The sequence below is a fragment of the Homo sapiens genome, chromosome 20 (assembly GCF_000001405.40).
Source record: "Homo sapiens chromosome 20, GRCh38.p14 Primary Assembly".
NCBI lineage: Eukaryota > Metazoa > Chordata > Mammalia > Primates > Hominidae > Homo > Homo sapiens.
The window spans coordinates 25,000,649-25,020,893 of record NC_000020.11 but is presented as its reverse complement, the minus strand read 5'-3'; the positions used below and the strand labels follow the sequence as shown (position 1 = coordinate 25,020,893).

Genomic DNA, 20,245 nt, shown 5'->3' with positions numbered 1-20,245 from the left:
TCCCACACAGCACAGTGTCTTCAAATATTTTCTTTAATGTAAGCAGATCATGGTGGCTCTGCCCAAAGGCTGCTGCTCCAGTGTTCCATGGCACTGACAACTGTGCATGGACTGTGTTATCACCTCCCAGTGCTCCATCCCTGCCTTTGGGGGCTGGGTGTGCTCAAGGAAGAAGTTGTAGGGGCAAGACCAGGGATTAAGGGCCATGGCCCAGGTGCTGTCTCAGGCCACCACTTCAGCCCTTAGAAGCTCAGTGTTCCATGTGGAGGGGATGGTGTGGGTAGTGGGTTTACAGGAACCAGGGGTGTGCATGCCGGGCACATGGCCCTGCTCCCTGGGACACACGCAGTGGCAGCTGTACTGTCACCAGGGGAAGCACCAGTCACCACTTTAGAGCCCATGTGAGTGTGATCGAGTGAAAGCTCTGTGTTAATGCTCCATGGGTTATTAAATCCACGTAGTATCACCTTGAACTAGGCCATCACCCTAAGCCTGGTGAAGACTGTTCCTGAATGTGCCGCCCATGGATCTGGGGAGTGCTTGGAGGAGAGCGGCCATTGGGGACCTGTCCCATGGGGCTTCTTTCCATCTTTCACTGGCGGGGGTGGGGGGTTGGGGGGATCCCTTTCATATGGACATATGCGCGTCTGCACATGCCCAGCACTCAGGAAGTCTTGGCTGATCTCTGAGTTTAAAGTAAACCATGTCAGCTCTCCTGCTGACAGTGAATTTCGGCCTTTCTGTAGGTCGGTACTGGGAGACAGTAGAGAGGTTGAAGATCAATCAGTTCTATGGCGCCCCAACGGCTGTCCGGCTGTTGCTGAAATACGGTGATGCCTGGGTGAAGAAGTATGATCGCTCCTCCCTGCGGACCCTGGGGTCAGGTGAGCGGCCTGCCCTGCAGCAGGAGAGGTTGTGCTTGCCCTAGACCCTCAGAGCCAATACGGGCTTCAGCAGGACTTCAGTCATGAAGCTGCCCGGCTTTGTATGTGTGAATTCACGCAATGCCAGACCGGATCTGGTAGAAAGCACCAGCACCTCTTCCCACCTGTAAGCTCCTCCCCAGAGCTGGCAGCAGTTACCTGTCTGGGGAACAACGTTCCAGACATTTTCTGTGCCGTTGTTTCTGTGCCCAATTTCTGTAGCTTAATCTTCATTAGGAATACTTACCCACTCAATAAGTTAAGGGTCAGGTCAGTTCTTTAGTGGCTGCATGGGATTTAACTGTATAACTTAGCTGGGTGTGGTGGCAAAGGCTGAGGTGGGAGGATTGCTTGAGCCCAGGAGTTTCAGGCTGCAGTGAACTAGGATTGCACCACTGCGCTCCAGCCTGGTGACAGAGTGAGACTCAGTCGTCTAAATAATAGTAATAATAGTATAACTACAGTTTGCTAAACACTGCCCCATAGTTGGACCTTTTGATTGTCTCCAAGTCTGTGGAGTGGATACCATCCTGCACTTTTGCCCTGCTGTTACTGTAGACATTTCCAGGCAGACAGTTCAAAGCTTAGGCCTATTGGTAATGTTGATGGATATTGCCAAATCACATGGAAACATTTTGGAAATGTGATGGTGGCATGGTTTCGACAGTATCAGCAGTGTCTGTCTTTCGGGCTGGTGCTGGGAGGGACTGGGTGCTGGTGACTGCTGTTCTCTCTCCTGTCCCTGCCACATTTCATGTCTGCCTTGACGTGTGGTCACGCGTGGTCAGCCACCTGCTTGGTGGCTTTTCACTGGGGAAGCATGCAGGGCAGTGACCATGGAAGAGTGTCCCATTCTGCCACATACATCCTTGGGAAGGGAGCATGTACCTCCCAGTGAACATGTGATTCCACTACTACTGGGTGACCATGAGGCCATGCGGGCATCCGGGCCACAGGCTGAGAGGCACAGCAGCTGGGGCTGTGCCCTGCAGAGCTCACCACTTGTTCCCAAATGTGAGATGGGGATGAGACCTACCTACAGGGTGGCGAGGATGCCACAGAGGGTCAGATGTGAGCCTTAGTATAATGTTCAGCATGGAGATGATTAATGGAGAGAGCTCCTGAGGAATAGCAGGCATCCAATGACTCCTCCTCCTCTTTTCCCTTATTTTCCCCATTAACAGTAAAAACCTTCTGTTTCTCAACCAGCTTTCTAGATTAAAAAGCAGGAGGAGTTTGAATACTATTAATAAGAGCAAATATGTATTAAATGCCTTTATCTTCACATCAGTCCTTTGAGCAAACAGCAGATGTTGTTTCACATTACAGAGAAGGAAGAGGAGGCACAGAGAGGTCAGAGAACCGGCCTGAGGTCACTCAGCAAGTAGGGCAGCCTGTGTTGAACGCAGCACTTGGTTCTAGAGTCTGTAAAACTCACTCTGCCCCCCACCTGATTGATGGGCTCTGTGCCCCCACCCTGTACCCTCAACAGGTCCCTTGCCATACTGTCCCCTCCACCTCTCAGAAAGAGTATGGGGTTCCTTTCTAGATGGTGAATCTTAGTTTGCTTTGTGCTGCTGTAATAGAATACCCTGAAACTGGGTGATTTATAATGAACAGAAATTTATTGGTTCACATTTCTGGAGGCTGGGAAGTCCACATCAAGGTGTTGGCATCTGGTGAGGGCCTTCTTGCTGCATCGTCCCATGGTGGAAGGGCAAAGAGAAGGCAAGAGAGAGCAAGAGGAGGTTGAACTCACCCTTTTATAATGGCACCAATCCCACTCATGAGGGTGGAAACCTCTTGGCATAATCACCTCATAAAGGTTCCACCTCTTAATACTGTTACAATGGCAATTACATTTCAGCGTGAGATTTGGAGGGGACAAACATTCAAACCATAATAAGTGGTGAGTTTGGGTGGTCTCTCTTGGCATGCTGGAGCTGGGCTTGAGAGGCCCGTGTGATTCTGACTGCCTGGGCCATGTAGTGCTTGTGGACTGGGAACAAACAGCGGGGTGGCCAGGGCCATAGAAACTCGCCCAGATCCTCTAGGTGTTGTCAGCAGGGCCACCTGAGTGGGCCCTAGGCATTAGGTGGGGACAGGGCTGAAGGGCAAGATTTGGTTTTCCAGATACACTCATGGGATTTGTCTCCTGAAGGAAGGTTCACGGGGTCCAATGACAAGGGGTACCGCCCTAAGTGCATTTCAGGAAGGGGTGTGCTCTGGCAGCTGCATTAGAGTGGGATGTGTATCCCAGCAGCCTCTGCCTCACCTAGGGGTCCCCACAGACTTGGAACACCTCTGAGCCAGGGGGCCAGCCCCCAGCAGAGGCTCAGCTGGGTTTTGTGTATTTAGCTGGTTGATAGGCACATTCCTATTCCTGTTGCATAACCGGTTCTAGCCGCAGAGCCCTGCGGGAGGCCAGGTGCTAATCACACACCTCGCTGTTCTGTTCTCGGTATACAGTGTTGGCAGGCAGCGTGGCGTCTTGTGATGTCTTGCACCTGGGGCTCCCAGCACCTCGGAGCAGTGCTGGGAGTCAGTGTGTTCCACACCTTGGCCAGGGCCAGCGCTGTGCTGGCACACCTGTCGGTGCAATTCCACAGCCCAGACCCATTCCAGGCAGCTGGGATCAGCCCTCATGACATTTAATCCGTTGAGTCGTCAGAATCCCACTCACTCAAGACATTCCCCCTAGATTTGTATTTCTCAAAGCTTTTTTAAACTTTCAATTTCATAAGTAATACATGGATACACTCTTGTGAAAAGAAGAAATTGGAGCATTGTACTTAAAGCTGATGTCCTTAGGAGCTGGGCGTGGTGGTACGTGCCTGTAGTCCCTCGGCTACTTGGGAGGCTGAGATGGGAGGATCCTTGAGCCCCAGAAGTCGAGGTTGCAGTGAGCCATGATCATGCCACTGCACTCCAGTCCAGGCAACAGAGCAAGATCCTTGTCTCTCTCTCTCAAAAAAAAAGAAAAAAAAAAAAAGCTGAAGTTTTCCTCGACCTCTGCTCCAGGGGTTGTTGCTCCTGCGCCTTCGGCCCTGTCTCTGCAGTTAAGTTCCTGTAGTGGATGCAGCTCTGTTAAATGACGTTTTCTTTAACACCAAAGTTACCACACCGTGCTATGATGCTGTAATGTTTCTTTTAAGATTGTAGAATCTGCATTTTTCCACACGGACCTGCTTTGCCGTGGGGATTACCCTGGCTTGTGTGGTCACAGCCCCGTGGCTGGGTGCAGGCTGTCGCAGTCTCCCAGCGTGTCCACCAGCGCTGCGGGGCATCTCCCTGCCCCTTGTGGATGTTCTGAGTGCAGGTGTGACACACAAGACACTGAGCTGCCAATGTGGCCAGCACTGATCATGCAGCATGGATGCGGGGGCCACTGCTGGGACAGGCTGTGGGTTGTGAGTGGTCCTGAGCAAGAGGCAACCACCAGCACGAGAGTATTTCAGTGTTTTAGTGATAGCACGTCTAGCCTGGTGAGTTCTGGCTGAGTGCTGGCCTGGTGTGGAAATGTCATAAGGTAGACACTGAGAATCCTAGGGTGTACACATATCTTCTTCCTTTCTATTGAGATATAATGTGTACTAAAGGGTACAGATGTTAAGTGTTCAACTTGAGAGATGTTTACGTGTATAAGTGCTACAGAAATTCCTAGTCCCCAGAGGCCCCCTTATGGCTCCTCCCAGTTACGAGAGTTACCCGAACCATGACCACAGTGTGGCCTGCATCACCACGGACAGATCCGGCTGCACTTGAACCTCAGCTGGGTGGGATCACACAGCACACCCCTCCCTTGCCCAGCGTCATGCTTCAGACTCACCAGTGCCGCTGTGGGTCGTGGAGGTTCGCCATCTTCTTTGCAATGTGGCGTTCCTCTGCAGGAGCGTGCCATATTGTATTTAGCCACCTACTCCTGAGGGATGTGTGTGGTTTCTAACATGAGCAGAGCTGCTGAGGACACCCTTTACATAGCCACTTCTGGTGGCATCTGCAGTCATTTCTGTGGGGTGTACGTCAGGGGTCATGTTTTGAGGTATTTAGCTGTAGTAGATTCTGCCCCAAGCAGTTGCTCAGAGTAGTTGTATTGGTTGTATGGAGTTTTAAATGTTAAGAGAAACATCCAGATTGCTCCTCAAAATTGCTGAACCAAACTATCCTCCTAATGGTGTCTGTGAAATCCTGTTTTCCCCACATTCTTACTGGCTTTTTGATATCCATCATCTAATGGTAAAAACACATCATGGTCATGTGCATTTCTTTGATGACCATAAATACGGTATGTCTCACTGCATTTTCAGGTCTCCTTGTATGTTCTTCAAAAATAAAAATCACGGAGCTGTTTTCTCCTTAAAAATCTCTTTATTTGGCTGGGCACAGCAGCTCACACCTGTAACCCCAGCACTTTGGGAGGCCAAGGCAGGTGGATCACCTGAGGTCAGGAGTTCGAGACCAGCCTGGCCAACATGGTGAAACCCCGTCTCTACTAAAAATACAAAAAATTAGCCGGGTGTGGTGGCAGGCGCCTGTAATACCAGCTACTCAGGAGGCTGAAGCAGGAGAATCGCTTGAACCTGGGAGGTGGAGGTTGCAATGAGCCAAGATCATCCTGGGAGACAGAGTGAGACTCAGTCTCAAAGAAAAACAAAAACAAAAAACAAAAAACAAAACTTCCCTTTGGTTTCAGGTTTATTTGCAGCCTGTTAACATCTTTTTCTTTCTGTGTGGTTTCAGTGGGAGAGCCCATCAACTGTGAGGCCTGGGAGTGGCTTCACAGGGTGGTGGGGGACAGCAGGTGCACGCTGGTGGACACCTGGTGGCAGACAGGTGAGGAGGCCTGGGGAACAGGTTCCGGTCTAAGTGCTGGGTCTGCAGGGTCAGGTGTGAGGCTGGGACTGGGGTCCAAGCTCTCAACAGCAGGTGCGATAGAAGACGCTTCAACGCCCGAGACTGCGGAAACCCTGGAGCCTAGAGTGAGGGAACTCAGAGGTCGCCTGGCTGCTGTTTCCCACCTGTGGGACCTCTTGTCACAACTTCTCTGAGGCTCGGTTTCCTCCTTTGTGAGGTGGGGGCGCCCCCCACACGCCTGGGTGAGGGTGAACTGAGGTGACACAGCTCAGCTTGCTGCCCAAGGCCTGGTGTGCAGCAGGAGCTCAGGGGCCGTGTCCCTTCCTAGTGCCCCTTTCTGAACAGGGGAACATCTGATGAGACAGGCCCCATCTTCTAAGGGAGCATGAGTCTAAATTTAAATTTTAGTGGGAAAAGGAATTTTTCCTGTGACATTTTGTTTGGATTTGTCCCCCCTTCTCTTGGGTATCTGACTTATTAGGAGGCTTGGGGCGAGAGACCACCATAGATGTAATGAATGTAACTATCTGAGGGCTCATCCTCAAGCCAGAAAATGAGGCGTTCCCATGGGACAGTCCCATCCATTCAGGAAAACCTGGGACAGAGATTCTCTAGCTGAGTCACTGGGGCATTTCCCTGGTACAGGCTGGAAATAATGTGAGGGTAGGATTTGAGAGCATCTTTTTTCGTTGTTGGGTTCATGTCAAATGGGCGCTGGCCCAGAAGCAGTTCTTTTTCTCCGTCTTCATGTGCAAGTGGGTGGGCTCTGCCCTTTCCCACTTCAAGCAAGGGCCTGACATGGCGAGGGGGCCTGCACCTGGCTGTGGGATGCCAGAGCTCCTGGGGCTGAGGCCACTGTGGGGCCGCCTCTCATATCCACAGTGGAGGGCACCAGACCCACATCTGGTTTGCCTCAAAGATCGTTGTGCCCCTGAGGCGTTTCCTTGCCCACAACAGGGACAGTCCCACCTACCACCCACTCTGGATACACGTATCCCTGGGTCCGGGGCCGATTATGCATTTCTTTCTTGTCATACCTGCAGAAACAGGTGGCATCTGCATCGCACCACGGCCCTCGGAAGAAGGGGCGGAAATCCTCCCTGCCATGGCGATGAGGCCCTTCTTTGGCATCGTCCCCGTCCTCATGGATGAGAAGGTGTGTATGGGCCTCCCCCACATGGGGGTCATGTGCTTGCCCTCCCTTGTCCCTGCCTGCCCAGCCCAGCTCTCTCCTGTGTGCCCAGGTCTGTACCTGGCAGGAGGCTGCTGACCTTGCAGCGTTCACTGCAGCTGGTATCATGCACTGGGTAGTGGCCACACAGGTGGCTTGGGGCCCTCCTCAGGGGCAGAGGGGAGAGCTATGGACAGCTCCCTTGAGGGCAGGGCTTGTCATTTTTTGGCACACTTCTCACCCAGAGCCTGCCCTGTCTCACTTGCATGTCCGGGGTCTACAGGGCAGCGTCGTGGAGGGCAGCAACGTCTCCGGGGCCCTGTGCATCTCCCAGGCCTGGCCGGGCATGGCCAGGACCATCTATGGCGACCACCAGCGATTTGTGGACGCCTACTTCAAGGCCTACCCAGGTGAGCAGGCTGTCAGGGACCCTCTCATTCCTTTTCAGCTGACTGCTGGAATCTTATTCTCAGAAAACATTTTTAATGGGATTTGAGTGCAGCGTAACACTGTGGCCAGGAATAGGTGCTCGCGAGGCCAGAGTTTGACTCCGCACCCCTCTCCCTTTGCTGTACCTCCCTGGCTTTCCTTATCTTGACAGTGGGAGTGATTCCCCACTCGGGGACTTTCTTGGGGCTACTTAGGTGTGGGTGTGAAGTCCTGCACTGCAGCCAGGCCCATGGTAGGATCCTGTTAGCTACGGCTGGGAGTTTTCTTCCAGTTTACTTTTATTTTTTCCCAGTTTCCCTTTTTGTCGTAAACAAGACTCAGTGTTTTGGAGAAGCATCTTGGATGTGCTGCTTGTATACCTTCTGCTCCCCAAAGTCTCGATATCTCGGAGCCACCTGCCCATGCTCTAGAACATAGGGAAGCATCGGAGTTGCAAGGAGGGCCGATGGGCGAGACTTCAGCCGCGTGCTGGGCTGCAGAGCTTCACGCTTACTGAGGTTGGGACATGGGTCCTGGCTCAGGGTTCCTGGTGCTGAATTTCCCTGCTGTGGTGCAGGCTATTACTTCACTGGAGACGGGGCTTACCGAACTGAGGGCGGCTATTACCAGATCACAGGGCGGATGGATGATGTCATCAACATCAGTGGCCACCGGCTGGGGACCGCAGAGATTGAGGACGCCATCGTGAGCACAGGCTGGGCCTCCTCCTTCACTCCTACACCTCCATGATGCCCCTGTGGACCTGCAAGTTGGGGTGGGAGTCCCTGGCCCGAGTCACTTCTAGCACCCGGGGCCGCCACATTTTGCCCTTTTGTTCTCTGTTGTACACAGGCCGACCACCCTGCAGTACCAGAAAGTGCTGTCATTGGCTACCCCCACGACATCAAAGGAGAAGGTGAGTGTCCTGGAGATGAGCTCCTCCCTGATTCCTGACCCCACACCCATTATGGGCACCTCTGTACGAGGAGCAGACTCTGGAGAGTGGAGTGATAGGGGATACTGTGGGCCAAGCTCTCAGTGTTCTTCTCTCTCAAGTGGAAACTGTAGGGGAGGAGGCTGAATAGCACTCGTGTTCGGTCGGGTTTCTGAAATGCCCTGGTTCTGCTGTCCTTTCAGGACACACATCCACAGTGGCCATGACCCAGTTGGGCTTGGCTAAGCTTGGGGGGTTTCCCCTTCTGTCCATGGTGTATCTGGTGGGGACACCGTCCAGCCCCATTACAGAGAGTTTATGAGAAAATGTCCAGCCTCATGTATCCTCACGGGCTTGGTCATAGCACTCAAGCCAGCTCTGCAGCCGCCACGCGTGTGTGCCAGAGTGTGCTCTGGAGTGTGCAGGCTGTGTGCTGCGCTGGGACTCTTTGGACGAATCTGACCTGTGGTTCCCACTGCACAGCGACATGCTGGGGGAATGCAGAATGAGGGACTAGAATGGCCTTTACCAAGGCCACGCTTTGTTTCGAGTCTGCCAGCTTCTTGGTGGCTGGGTCTGGGAAGGGGCGGGAGCACCTAGGTGTTGCAATGCCAGGTCCATCCAGGCACACTGCCTGGCCTGGCGTGACCTGGACACACACTGACCCCATGCCAGGGCACTGCTGGGCAGACTGGCTTCTCCTGCCCTGCCCAGTGGCTTGGGGTCAGGCTTGCCCTCCCGCTGGGAGGCCACCCTGTGTCACAGTGTGTCCCAGATGTCACCTTCCTCCCTGCACTTCTATGTGCCGTTATTCCATTATTTACTTAAATGCTCTCTTTAAATTGACGCATTGCAAGATTGAGAATTTGTTTCAGTGCTTTACAAACAGCATTTTCAGTTGCCATGGAAAGGCTATGCTGGTAAGGCTGGGATGTGGGAGAGAGCTGGTAGGGACCCCTGCCCGGTGACATGTCCAGATGTGATCAGGAGGGTCAGAGAGGACGGAGACGAGGACAGTTTCTCAGGTGTGACTAGGGTAACTTAGTGCCCCCCTGAGGTTACCTCGCTCTGGCAGGAGCCTGGGCCCCTCCTCTGAGGACTCCTGCATTTCACATCTCTGGGCTGGGGGTCCACAGGGCACTGACGTGTCCTGGGATTTGAAAGCCCCATCTATGTCTGAGTCCAGTGGCTGAGCCAGTACTCCCTGGGGCCACTGAGAGGGGTCCGGGCATGGTCCACTGTGTCTGGGGATTCAGCAGCCCCTGGATTGAACTCCATAAAGCAAGTGCAAGATCAAGGAAAGGACAATGGAAGTGACCTTTAGACAAACGTTTGGGCATCACAATCACTGTCTTTCATAGGGTGGCCTAGCCTTAGGTCTGTTGGGGTGGTGTTGGGGCATGGTCTGCTGTGGACGCTGCTGCCCAGGGCACGTTCTGCGTGTGTGGAGCTATTGCAAGTCTGGTGTTGCCAGGCTTCTTAATGTCTGCCAGATGTGTGGGGATAATTTGTCTATCATGTGTATGATGATGTGCATTTTCCTGATTTCTAATGAATTTGAGTATCCATTCTATAATTATGAAGAGCTGATGAACAGCTCTTGGTTGGCTCTAAAGCTGCCTGTGAATATCGTATATTTGTCCCCACTCTCTCTGTTTTGCAGCAGCTCTGAAAAAGGGCAGCCCCTGGACCTTGTCTAGGACCTAGACCCAGCAAGCCTCTGGTGCTGCTGGCCAGGCTCTTGTCTCTCTTGTCTCCAGTGTCCTGAGCCTTGCCTGCCTCGTCCTGGCTCTTAACTGGCTCCTCCACCCATGTGGAAGGTTTCCTCCCTCCAGCTCCATCCTCAGAACTCAACAGTCCAGGCCCACTTCTGATCCCATATCAACGACCAAGATGAGAAAAACGGTGTTCTTTCCCTCAAAGATCTAACAGCCTAGTGGGGTGGCAGCAGGGGGACTGACAGCTGTTCCCACATAGCATGTGCCATAAACTAGATTCATGGGTGGAGTCAGGAAAGGCTTCACAGAGCAGGAGGTGGCTGAACTGAGTCTTGAGGGATGAATAGGAGTTCGCCACATGGATATAGGAAGGCCTTTCAGGCAAAGGCTGTAGGTCTTTACAGATCATAGCTTGTTCAGAAAACCAATCATCCATTCATGCACTTAACAACCATGTGTTGAGCACCTCCTGTGTTCCAGGCATGGTTCTAGATGCTGGGGACACAGCAGTGAGTGAGAAGGTCTCTGACCCCATAGAGGGGTCAAGAGTAGAGGAGAGAGACAGACAAAGAGCAAGAAAGATGATCACCAAGGAAACGACACAGTCAGTTAGGTGCTACATGCCAGGGAAGAATGGGTGAAGGTGGCATGGGGCTGGGGCAGATGAGCAGTAGGAGAGCCACACATATATAGAAGCTTCGAGGGAGAGACAGAGCACCTCACAGGCCAGTGGGGACGGGCAGGCTATCAGGGATGGCACCGGGATGAGCAACTCCTTATATGGACAACAATCAAATTAGATCCCTCTTCACAGTGTGAACTCTTCCTGGAACATGCCAGGGTACTGAAAAACGAAAGCTAGTATTTATGCTATAATGTGGGCTGGCCCGTGCTGCCCAGCAGAACTCTCAGCTGCCTCTCAGCTGTCTGTGTTGTCCAGGGTGGCAGCCTCTGGCTGCTCATGGTGCTGAATGGCACTTGAAGTGTGGCTCATGCAGCCAGGGAGCTGCTGATTTAATTGAACTGAAATAGCTACCCTGGCCCATGGCACCATGTTGCACACACACCCCCAAAGGCTGGTGGTGCCCATTTGCTGTGCATCTGTGCACCTTCTCATGGAAGTCTCATTCCATCAAACCACATTATGGGTTATTTCACAGATGTGTACACAGAGAGGGGAGGTCCCATGTCCCAGGTCACACGCAGCCAGTCAGCATTAGAGCTGAGATGCCAAGCTCTCAGCCACACATGTGCACTCACCTGGAACATCTGTGGAGCTGTTAGAATCGCTGCCACTTTTCATGAAACTGAAGTGCATCTTTGGGTTTGCAACTAAAGAAACCAGCTGCTACAATGTCACTAACATAGGATTCAAAAGCCCTTCGGATTTCTGGCAGTCTGTGCATAGCACCCTGCCTCGGGAGTTGGCTCCTTGTCTAGTATTTAATACATCCCCAAACTTGGCTTTATTTTCAGCTGCCTTTGCCTTCATTGTGGTGAAAGATAGTGCGGGTGACTCAGATGTGGTGGTGCAGGAGCTCAAGTCCATGGTGGCCACCAAGATCGCCAAATATGCTGTGCCTGATGAGATCCTGGTGAGTGGGCCTCCCACAAAGATGGGGCTGTGCTGCTGTTCTTCCCACAATTGTCAAGTGACAATGATCTTTTAGGAGCATATTACTCTTTTCCAATTAGCATCAAAACGGACACTAGCTGTTTGGTTTTCCTGGCTGGTGGTGAGGATGGTGGGTCTCTGTGTTGTCATAGAGGGAGAAGTGAGCTCAGCCAGCTTACTTGTCCAGGAGGTCGCCTAGGCAGGTTTCCATGCTCAGTGGGCTCATCTGTCCAGGAGGTTGCCTAGGCAGGCCTACATGCTCAGTAAGCTCACATGTCTGGGAGGCCACCTAGGCAGGTTTCCACACTCAGCCAGCTCACCTGTCCAGGAGTTCACCTAGGCAGGCTTCCACGCCCAGCCAGCTCACCTGTCCAGGAGGTCACCTAGGCAGGCTTCTGCTCTCGTATGTTGGCATGTGCAGGCTAGTCACAGAAATGGGGCTGCTGGTGAAGAACCTTAGGGATTTTCATTAGAGACATGGGGACAGTACCAGGGTTCTCCAGCCCCTGTGTGGTTCTTGAGCACTTTTCCTGGTGGCAGTGAAGGAGATCGCAGACCCCCAACCCAGGGGGTCAGAATCAGGGGAGGATTGGGCTGCCTCTTCAACCCCCGGCTTTTCATTCCCTCCTTTATGAACATTGCGCGCTGTGACTCTGGGTTTGGCGGCCCTCAGAGGCGGCAGGGCCAGGATCCACTTGGTATTACAGGAGTTGACACATTTGGCCCAGTGACCAGAATTTCAGGAGACCCGGACTCACCCTAGGTGAACTGAACTATTTCAAAAGACAGAATGACTGTCAAAGATCCCAAACACAGCTCTTAATGCATTGCCATTTGCAGTGAATGGGCTGTAGTTGTTTGAGCATGCTCCATGTTAGCTTTTCAAACACTAAGACAAAATTTTTCTCTTAAGTAGTTCTCACCTCTGATGTAAGACAAAACCTGCCAAGTCCCAGGCCAGAGAATGGAGATGAGGCACCCAGTGGGTGCTTGGATCTGCTGCCACCTGGGTGCCTGCACGTGGCACAGTGGCAGGACAGACGGACGGCAGTACGGGGTGAACCCGGCCTGGGTGGACCCTGCCTGGCGGAGAGCATCGGGGTGGATTTCAGCTTAGGTCCAGACAGTAGGAGGATAAAGCCAAGACCTCGGGCCTCACCGTTCTCTGGGGTGGAGGCTTAGACATCCACTGTGGATCCCCGGGAGGGCATCCCCCCTGAGCAGAGCCCTTCTGATCTTAATGCAGTCCACGCTAGCACAGAGGCTGGGCACCATCCACGCTCTAACACTGTGCCTGTTCCTTGCCAGGTGGTGAAACGTCTTCCAAAAACCAGGTCTGGGAAGGTCATGCGGCGGCTCCTGAGGAAGATCATCACTAGTGAGGCCCAGGAGCTGGGAGACACTACCACCTTGGAGGACCCCAGCATCATCGCAGAGATCCTGAGTGTCTACCAGAAGTGCAAGGACAAGCAGGCTGCTGCTAAGTGAGCTGGCACCTTGTGGGGCTCTTGGGATGGGCGGGCACCCAAGCCCTGGCTTGTCCTTCCCAGAAGGTACCCCTGAGGTTGGCGTCTTCCTACGTCCCAGAAGCAGCCCCCACCCCACACATGACCCACACCGCCCTCACGTGAAGCTGGGCTGAGAGCCCTTTCTCCCATCCATTGGAGGTCCCAGGAGTGTCACCCATGGAGAGGCTATGCGACATGGCTAGGGCTGGTTCTGCCATCTGAGTTTGGTTTCCTGGAATGAAAAGGCATTGCCATCTCCATTCCTCTGCCCTCTTGAGCCAGCACAGGAAGGTGAGGCCCTGGGATAGCGCGCCTGCTCAGATAACACAGAGCTAGTTAGCTAGTAGCAACCGTGTTTTCTCCAGATCTGTCTAGATACAAAGGTCAGAAATCTTATTTTTATACTTTTATATTGTGGAAGAACAGCATGCAACACTCACATGTAGTGTGTGGATTTACTTGAACATGTTCTTTTTAACATGTAGTTATGAAAATCTCCTTTTTTGCCTCTACTGGTGAGGAAACATGAGGATCAGAGGCCACATTTTTAATTATTGTTAGTGTATTTGGAAGTCTGAATTGGAGATGTTTGTACCTCTGTCTAAACAGTTCCCTTGAGAACTTCCAAGCCTCCGGCATCTTTTCCTGGTGAGTGTTTCTCCTGTGCTTGGTTGTGTATAATGGAGCTAACTCCTAAGCGGTGGGGTGAATGTGGCCGCCTTAGTTCTGAAGCTACTCCAGTTATGTTCTGTTTCTTCAAGCTGTGATCCAGAAAGATTTTTGTGCCCCCAGATGCCTCTTGATAGGAGAGGCAACATACTCCAAATAGTTGGGTTCTTCAGGGAAGCTATTAGAAACTCAGGTGACTTGTTAGAGCACTAACTTGGTCAGAGCCAAATCCTGGCAAACGCTGCCTGACCTTCACTCTGTGGTTGGGGCGGTGAGAACCACTGAGGTCCAATGATGAGACTTGGAGGTCTGGATCCAGTCTCTCTTTGTTTTAATGTGACTTAGGTGCTGTCAACATTAGCAAGATAATGGAAATCACGACGCCAGTGGGTGCTTACCTCCCTGCTAGGCATGCAGGGGCTGGCGGTTGGCAGGGGAAGGAGGCCCAGTGAGCCGGGTCCCTTAGGGGAGGGAGAGTTTGTCCTCTTTGCCCCACAGTCTACCCTTCAGGGCCTTGTGGCAGTGCCAGTGTTCGGGGGGTGTCTGGGCCACTGAGTACCCACTCGGTCGTGGTTGTGCTGGCCTCTTGGGTGAGTGAACCTGTGAAGCCCAGGAGGTGGTGTTGGCTGCAGGGTACACAAATACTGAGTGGTGGTCTTTTGTTACAGGCTTAGCAACAAAGCTGTGCCCTGGGCATGGGGGGCTGTAGTGTAGCTACAGTTGTGCGTTTGTGAAATGGCTTAGCTTTCCATGTTGCTGAGAGGAACCTGGACATGGTCCCGGGCATCTGAATGATCTGTAGGGGAGGGAGTTCAAATAAAGCTTTATTTTGTTCATTTTCTCTTTGTGGTGATTTTTTTGGGTCCAGTAATGCTACTCTTTTTTTTTCCTGAATATAATCCTACAGACAAAATTGGAAGGGGCCTTTTCTCCTGGGGGGTTCACACTCACAGCCCTGACTGCTCCTTGGTGAGCTCACCTGCCTTACCAAGGATGGCTGACTGCGCTGATGCATCAGCCACACGTGGCCACTTAACTGTAACTTAAACAGAATAGAAATTTGGTTCCCAGTCTGCAGTTGCTGCATTTCAAGTGCCCAGAGGCCATGCACAGCAGGTCAGATAGGCGCACTACCACCATCACTTGGAGGCCGCAGGCGGCACTGGGCTAGAGCACAGGCAAGAGCGAGGGACAACCTGGCTCTGAGTAGCGTGCATGAGGAGCATGGCCTGGTCCCTGGGTCATCCCTCCGCTAGGGTGGGCTGGTCCTTCATCAGGACACACTGAATCAGTGCCACAGAGGCAGAATCTCAGCAGTCTGGGTCTGCTCCTGACACCCATCTGCCAGCCCCTCGATCTTATACTTCCTGGCCTCCATAGAAACAGATTTCTGTGGTTTAAGCCACCCAGCCTATGATATTTAGTTACAGCAGCAAATGAATACAAACGAATACAACTTTCCTACTTCATATTGTACAGAGGTTGTGACAAAAAAGAAAGGGATTCTGGACCATGCTGCATGATGCCCTACCAGCAGAGTTCCCAGGGCAAGCCGCCTCTCTCAAACTGCAGATTTGGGAAGAAAAGCAAAGATGCTGTGAAATACTGCCAGCCAGCTACTTGCTTACTTTGATGCTGACCTGTGGTTACTCTGTGGGGTGCTCACCAATGTTCCCTTGGTTACTACAGAAATAATTAACAAACAGAGCTGCTCCAGGGCTTCTGGCCAAGGGTTCCTCCTTCTCCAGCTTCTAGGATCCTGTTCTATGTTTATTTGGCATCGCTGCAACACCCCTCTGCTATTCCACAAAGAAATTTTTGCAGAGCAAACAGACTGGCTATCCAACCTGCTCCCAGATATCCTGTGCCAGGGCCAGGTCTGCAGAGGTACCTGCTCTTTTGGGGGTACAGTTCTGGCTTTTCTACTTGACATTATGACTTCTTTGCATCATGGATTGTTTGGAAAAATATTTCTAATTTTTTTTTTTTTTTGAGATGGAGTCTTGCTCTGTCACCCAGTTTGGAGTGTAGTGGCACCATCTCAGCTCACTGCAACCTCCACCTCCCCAGGTCAAGCAATTCTCCTGCCTCAGCCTCCCGAGTAGCTGGGACTACAGGTGCACGCCACCACACCTGGCTAATTTTTGTATTTTTAGTAGAGACGAGGTTTTAACATGTTGGCCAGGCTGGTCTCAAACTCCTGACCTTAGGTGATACACCCGCCTTGGCCTCCCAAAGTGTTGGGATTACAGGTGTGAGCCACCACGCCTGGCCTATTTCTAAAATTTCTAAACATTTAGTTTTTGTTATTTTATAGTTTTTGTTATTGGTGTTTAGCTTATTTGCACTGTGATCAGAGAGCATGCTCTCCCATGACTTCTGTGCTCTGAAGTTTGTTGAGGCCTGCTGCATGCCTCAACCTATCGCCAATTTTTAGAAAGGTCCCATTCAAGATGGAAAAGAAGTATTCTGTAATCATTGGGTAGAAGATTGTATACGTATCCACTGGGTCAAGTTGCTGATCATGTTGTTCAAATCCATGTCCCATCTCACTTTTACTCAGTTGTTTCATCACTTACTGAGACAGACTTGTTAAAAGTTCCCACTTCCACTGTGAGTTTCTCTAGTTCTGTCAGTTTTTGCTTTGGACATTTTGAAGCTTTATCTATTTGCATATTTATCTAGCACAATTATTTATGTATTTATCTATTTGTTGTGTATTAGGTGCTATTTAAAATTGTTATAACTTCCTGATGAATTGACTCTAAAAGAGGCATCCCCCTTTAGTCTCTAAATGTGCTTTCTTTTGGCTGTAAAATATATTTCGTCTGATATTAGTATAGTCACATCAGCTTTCTTTTTGTTAATATTTGCATGGAATAGTTTTTCCATCCCTTTAATTTTCTTTTCTTTCTTTTTTTTTGAGACATGGTCTTGTTGTGTTCCCCAGGCTGGTCTCGAACTCCTGGGCTCAAGCAATCCTCCTACCCCAGCCTCCCAAGTAGCTGGGACCACAGGAGAAAACCATGGTGTCCAGTGGATCATTCCTTTAACTTTAATCTTATTATAGCCTTATGTTTTTGATGTATCTCTTTTAAATAGCATGTAGCTTCACCTTGGTTTTTTAAATCACTCTGGAAATCTTTGCCATTTAAATGATACATTTAATCTACTTACATTTAACGTAACTAGTTATATATTTGGGTTTAAATCCACCATCTAACTCAGTACTTTTTATTTGCCCTGTTTGTTCTATGTTCTCTTTTTTTTTCCTTCCTTTAGAGTGACCATTTTTTATTATTCTAATTTTTGCCCTCTCCCCATTAGCTTGAAGTTATAAACTCTTACCATTTTAATTGTTACCCTAGATTATAAGTTGCAGCCTTCAATATTAATTGGTACCTTACCCTATTTCCAGTCAATACAAAGACTTTAAGAACACACTTTAACAACATATAAACCTCTCTTCCAACTTATAAATCATGCATTTTAGTTTTCTCTCTATTTTAATTCTACAAGGTAGTATTATTATAGTTGTATGCATCTTATTATTGTTCTATATAGACAATATTAACTTAGATTTACCCATATATTTATCATTTTTTGGTATCTCTTCTATACCTCCAAACTTCCATTTGGAATAATTTACCTTCTGCCTGAAAGGACTTTTGTCATTTCTTTTAATAAAGGTCTGCTGATAAGAAATTCATTCAGTTTTTGTCTACTTGGAAGTATTTATTTCATGATCACTCTTAAAGGATATTTTGACTGGGTGTATAACTCTAGCCTGTTAATTATTTTTTTCAGCACTACAACGATCTCATTTCCATTGGTATCTGTTTTCCCATGTTTCTGTTGAGTAGTTGGCTGTCAAACTAACAAATGGTCATTTAAAGTTAATCTACCACTTTTCCTTTGGCTGCTCTTGATATTTCTCCTTGTCTTTGGTTTTTGCAGTTTTATTTTTTGTTGACTTTTTTTTTTTAATCTTGCTTGGGTTCTGCAGGACTTCTTAGATCTGTATTGATGTCTGTATCATTTTGGAAATATCTCAACCATTATCTCTTTAAATATCATTTTTGCCTATTCTCTCTTCTTTTGTTGAGGACCCCAACTTCCCATATGATGAAATTTCTCACAATTCTAATTTCTGTATCTCTTGCTGCCTTAGCCTGGGTTGCCTGGAAAGCAGAGCCTGATATAAAGGCTTGCATGCAGGTACATTACTTACGGATGTGATTCTAGGAACAAATGTGAGGAATGAGGGGTATGGAACAGGGAAGGAGCAAGAACCAATACAAGTATTTGACTGAGTCAGCTGGTGTGACAGACAACTCGGGCTGCATCTCAGGACTCAGGAGGAATCTTATAAAATATGTCCCTGAACTCACTCATTCACAAAGAGCTGTTAGAAATACAGCTTGGCACAAAGCTGGAGGCATCACGCTACCTGACTTCAAACTATACTACAAGGCTACAGTAACCAAAACAGCATAGTACTGGTACCAAAACAGAGATATAGACCAATGGAACAGAACAGAGCCCTCAGAAATAATACCACACATCTACAATTATCTGATCTTTGACAAACCTGGCAAAAACAAGAAATGGGGAAAGGAGTCCCTATTTAATAAATGGTGCTGGGAAAACTGGCTAGCCATATGTAGAAAGCTGAAACTGGATCCCTTCCTTACACCTTATACAAAAATTAATTCAAGATGGATTAAAGACTTAAATGTTAGACCTAAAACCATAATAACCCTAGAAGAAAACCCAGGCAATACCATTCAGCCCATAGGCATGTGCAAAGACTTCATGACTAAAACACCAAAAGCAATGGCAACAAAAGCCAAAATTGACAAATGGGATCTAATTAAACTAAAGAGCTTCTGCACAGCAAAAGAAACTACCATCAGAATGAACAGGCAACCTACAGAATGGGAGAAAATTTTTACAATCTACCCATCTGACAAAGGGCTAATATCCAGAATCTACAAAGAATTTAAACAAATTTACAAGAAAAAAATCAAACAACCCCAACAACAAGTGGGTGAAGGATATGAACAGACACTTCTCAAAAGAAGATATTTATGCAGCCAACAGACGCGTGAACAAATGCTTATCATCACTGGTCATCAGAGAAATGCAAATCAAAACCACAATGAGATATCAACTCACACCAGTTAGAATGGCGATCATTAAAAAGTCAGGAAAAAACAGATGCTGGAGAGGATGTGGAGAAATAGGAACACTTTTACACTGTTGGTTGGACTGTAAACTAGTTCAACCATTGTGGAAGTCAGTGTGGTGATTCCTCAAGGATCTAGAACTAGAAATACTATTTGACCCAGACATCTGATTACTGGGCATATACCCAAAGGATTATAAATAATGCTGCTATAAAGACCCATGCACACGTATGTTTATTGTGGCACTATTCACAATAGCAAAGACTTGGAACCAACCCAAATGTCCATCAATGATAGACTCGATTAAGAAAATGTGGCACATATACACCTTGGAATACTATGCAGCCATAAAAAAGGATGAGTTCATGTCCTTTGTAGGGACATGCATGAAACTGGAAACCATCATTCTGAGCAAACTATCGCAAGGACAGAAAACCAAAGACCGCATGTTCTCACTCATAGGTGGGAATTGAACAATGAGAACACTTGGACACAGGGTGGGGAACATCACACACTGGGGCTTGTTGTGGGGTGGGGGGAGGGATAGCATTAGGAGATATACCTAATGTAAACGACAAGTTAAGGGGTACAGCACACCAACATGGCACATGTATACATATGTAACAAACCTGCACATTGTGCACATGTACCCTAGAACTTAAAGTATAATAAAAAAAAAAAAGAAGAAAAGGAAAAAAAAGAAATATGGCTTGGCATCTCAACTTTCTCCTGTGGAGGCTGCATACACACCCAGGGGAAAAATGGCTACAAGGCCAGGTGCGGTGGCTCATACCTGTAATTCCAGCACTTTGGGAGGCCAAGGCAGGAGGACTGGTTGAGCTCAGGAGTTCGAGACCAGCCTGGGCAACATAGACCTCTACTAAACATCTCTACTAAAATTAAAAAAAAAATTAGCTGGGCATGGTGGCACATGCCTGCAGTCCCAGCTACTCAGAGGGCTGAGGCAGAAGGATCATCTGAACCTGGGAGGCTGAGGCTGCAGTGAGCCCTGATTGTGCCACTGCACTCCAGCCTGGGCAACAGAGCAAGACCTTGTGTAAAAAAACAAAAGTGGTTACACACCAGGCTCATCATCCTGGGTCTCTGTTGTTCCCAGATCCTGGTCCAGCAATTCCACACCAGTTTCAGGCTCTCCGATTTCTTCAAGCAAATGCTTTAAATATTTTGTTCATTGTTGTCCCCTTTGGGAGTGTGAGTCTATCTAATTAGTCATC

At 49.4% G+C, this 20,245-nt stretch overlaps 1 protein-coding gene across 7 annotated transcripts in view; it reads left to right on the top strand.

Annotated features, from left to right (window-relative positions):
• Positions 1-14,657, top strand: part of ACSS1 (acyl-CoA synthetase short chain family member 1) — a 51,903-nt gene extending 37,246 nt beyond the window's left edge. For 3 of the 7 annotated variants that reach the window (NM_032501.4, NM_001252676.2, XM_047440557.1), the window contains 8 exons: positions 747-884; positions 5,664-5,756; positions 6,821-6,933; positions 7,232-7,358; positions 7,955-8,082; positions 8,230-8,293; positions 11,506-11,624; positions 12,953-14,657. In NM_032501.4, the coding sequence (NP_115890.2) occupies positions 747-884; positions 5,664-5,756; positions 6,821-6,933; positions 7,232-7,358; positions 7,955-8,082; positions 8,230-8,293; positions 11,506-11,624; positions 12,953-13,132 (962 nt within the window). In that variant the 3' untranslated portion in view covers positions 13,133-14,657. Of the gene's footprint in view, positions 1-746; positions 885-5,663; positions 5,757-6,820; positions 6,934-7,231; positions 7,359-7,954; positions 8,083-8,229; positions 8,294-11,505; positions 11,625-12,952 lie in introns of those variants that run through there. The other 4 variants (NM_001252675.2, XM_006723659.2, NM_001252677.2 and 1 more) reach the window with 4 other exon arrangements.
• Positions 14,658-20,245: the final 5,588 nt, after the last annotated feature.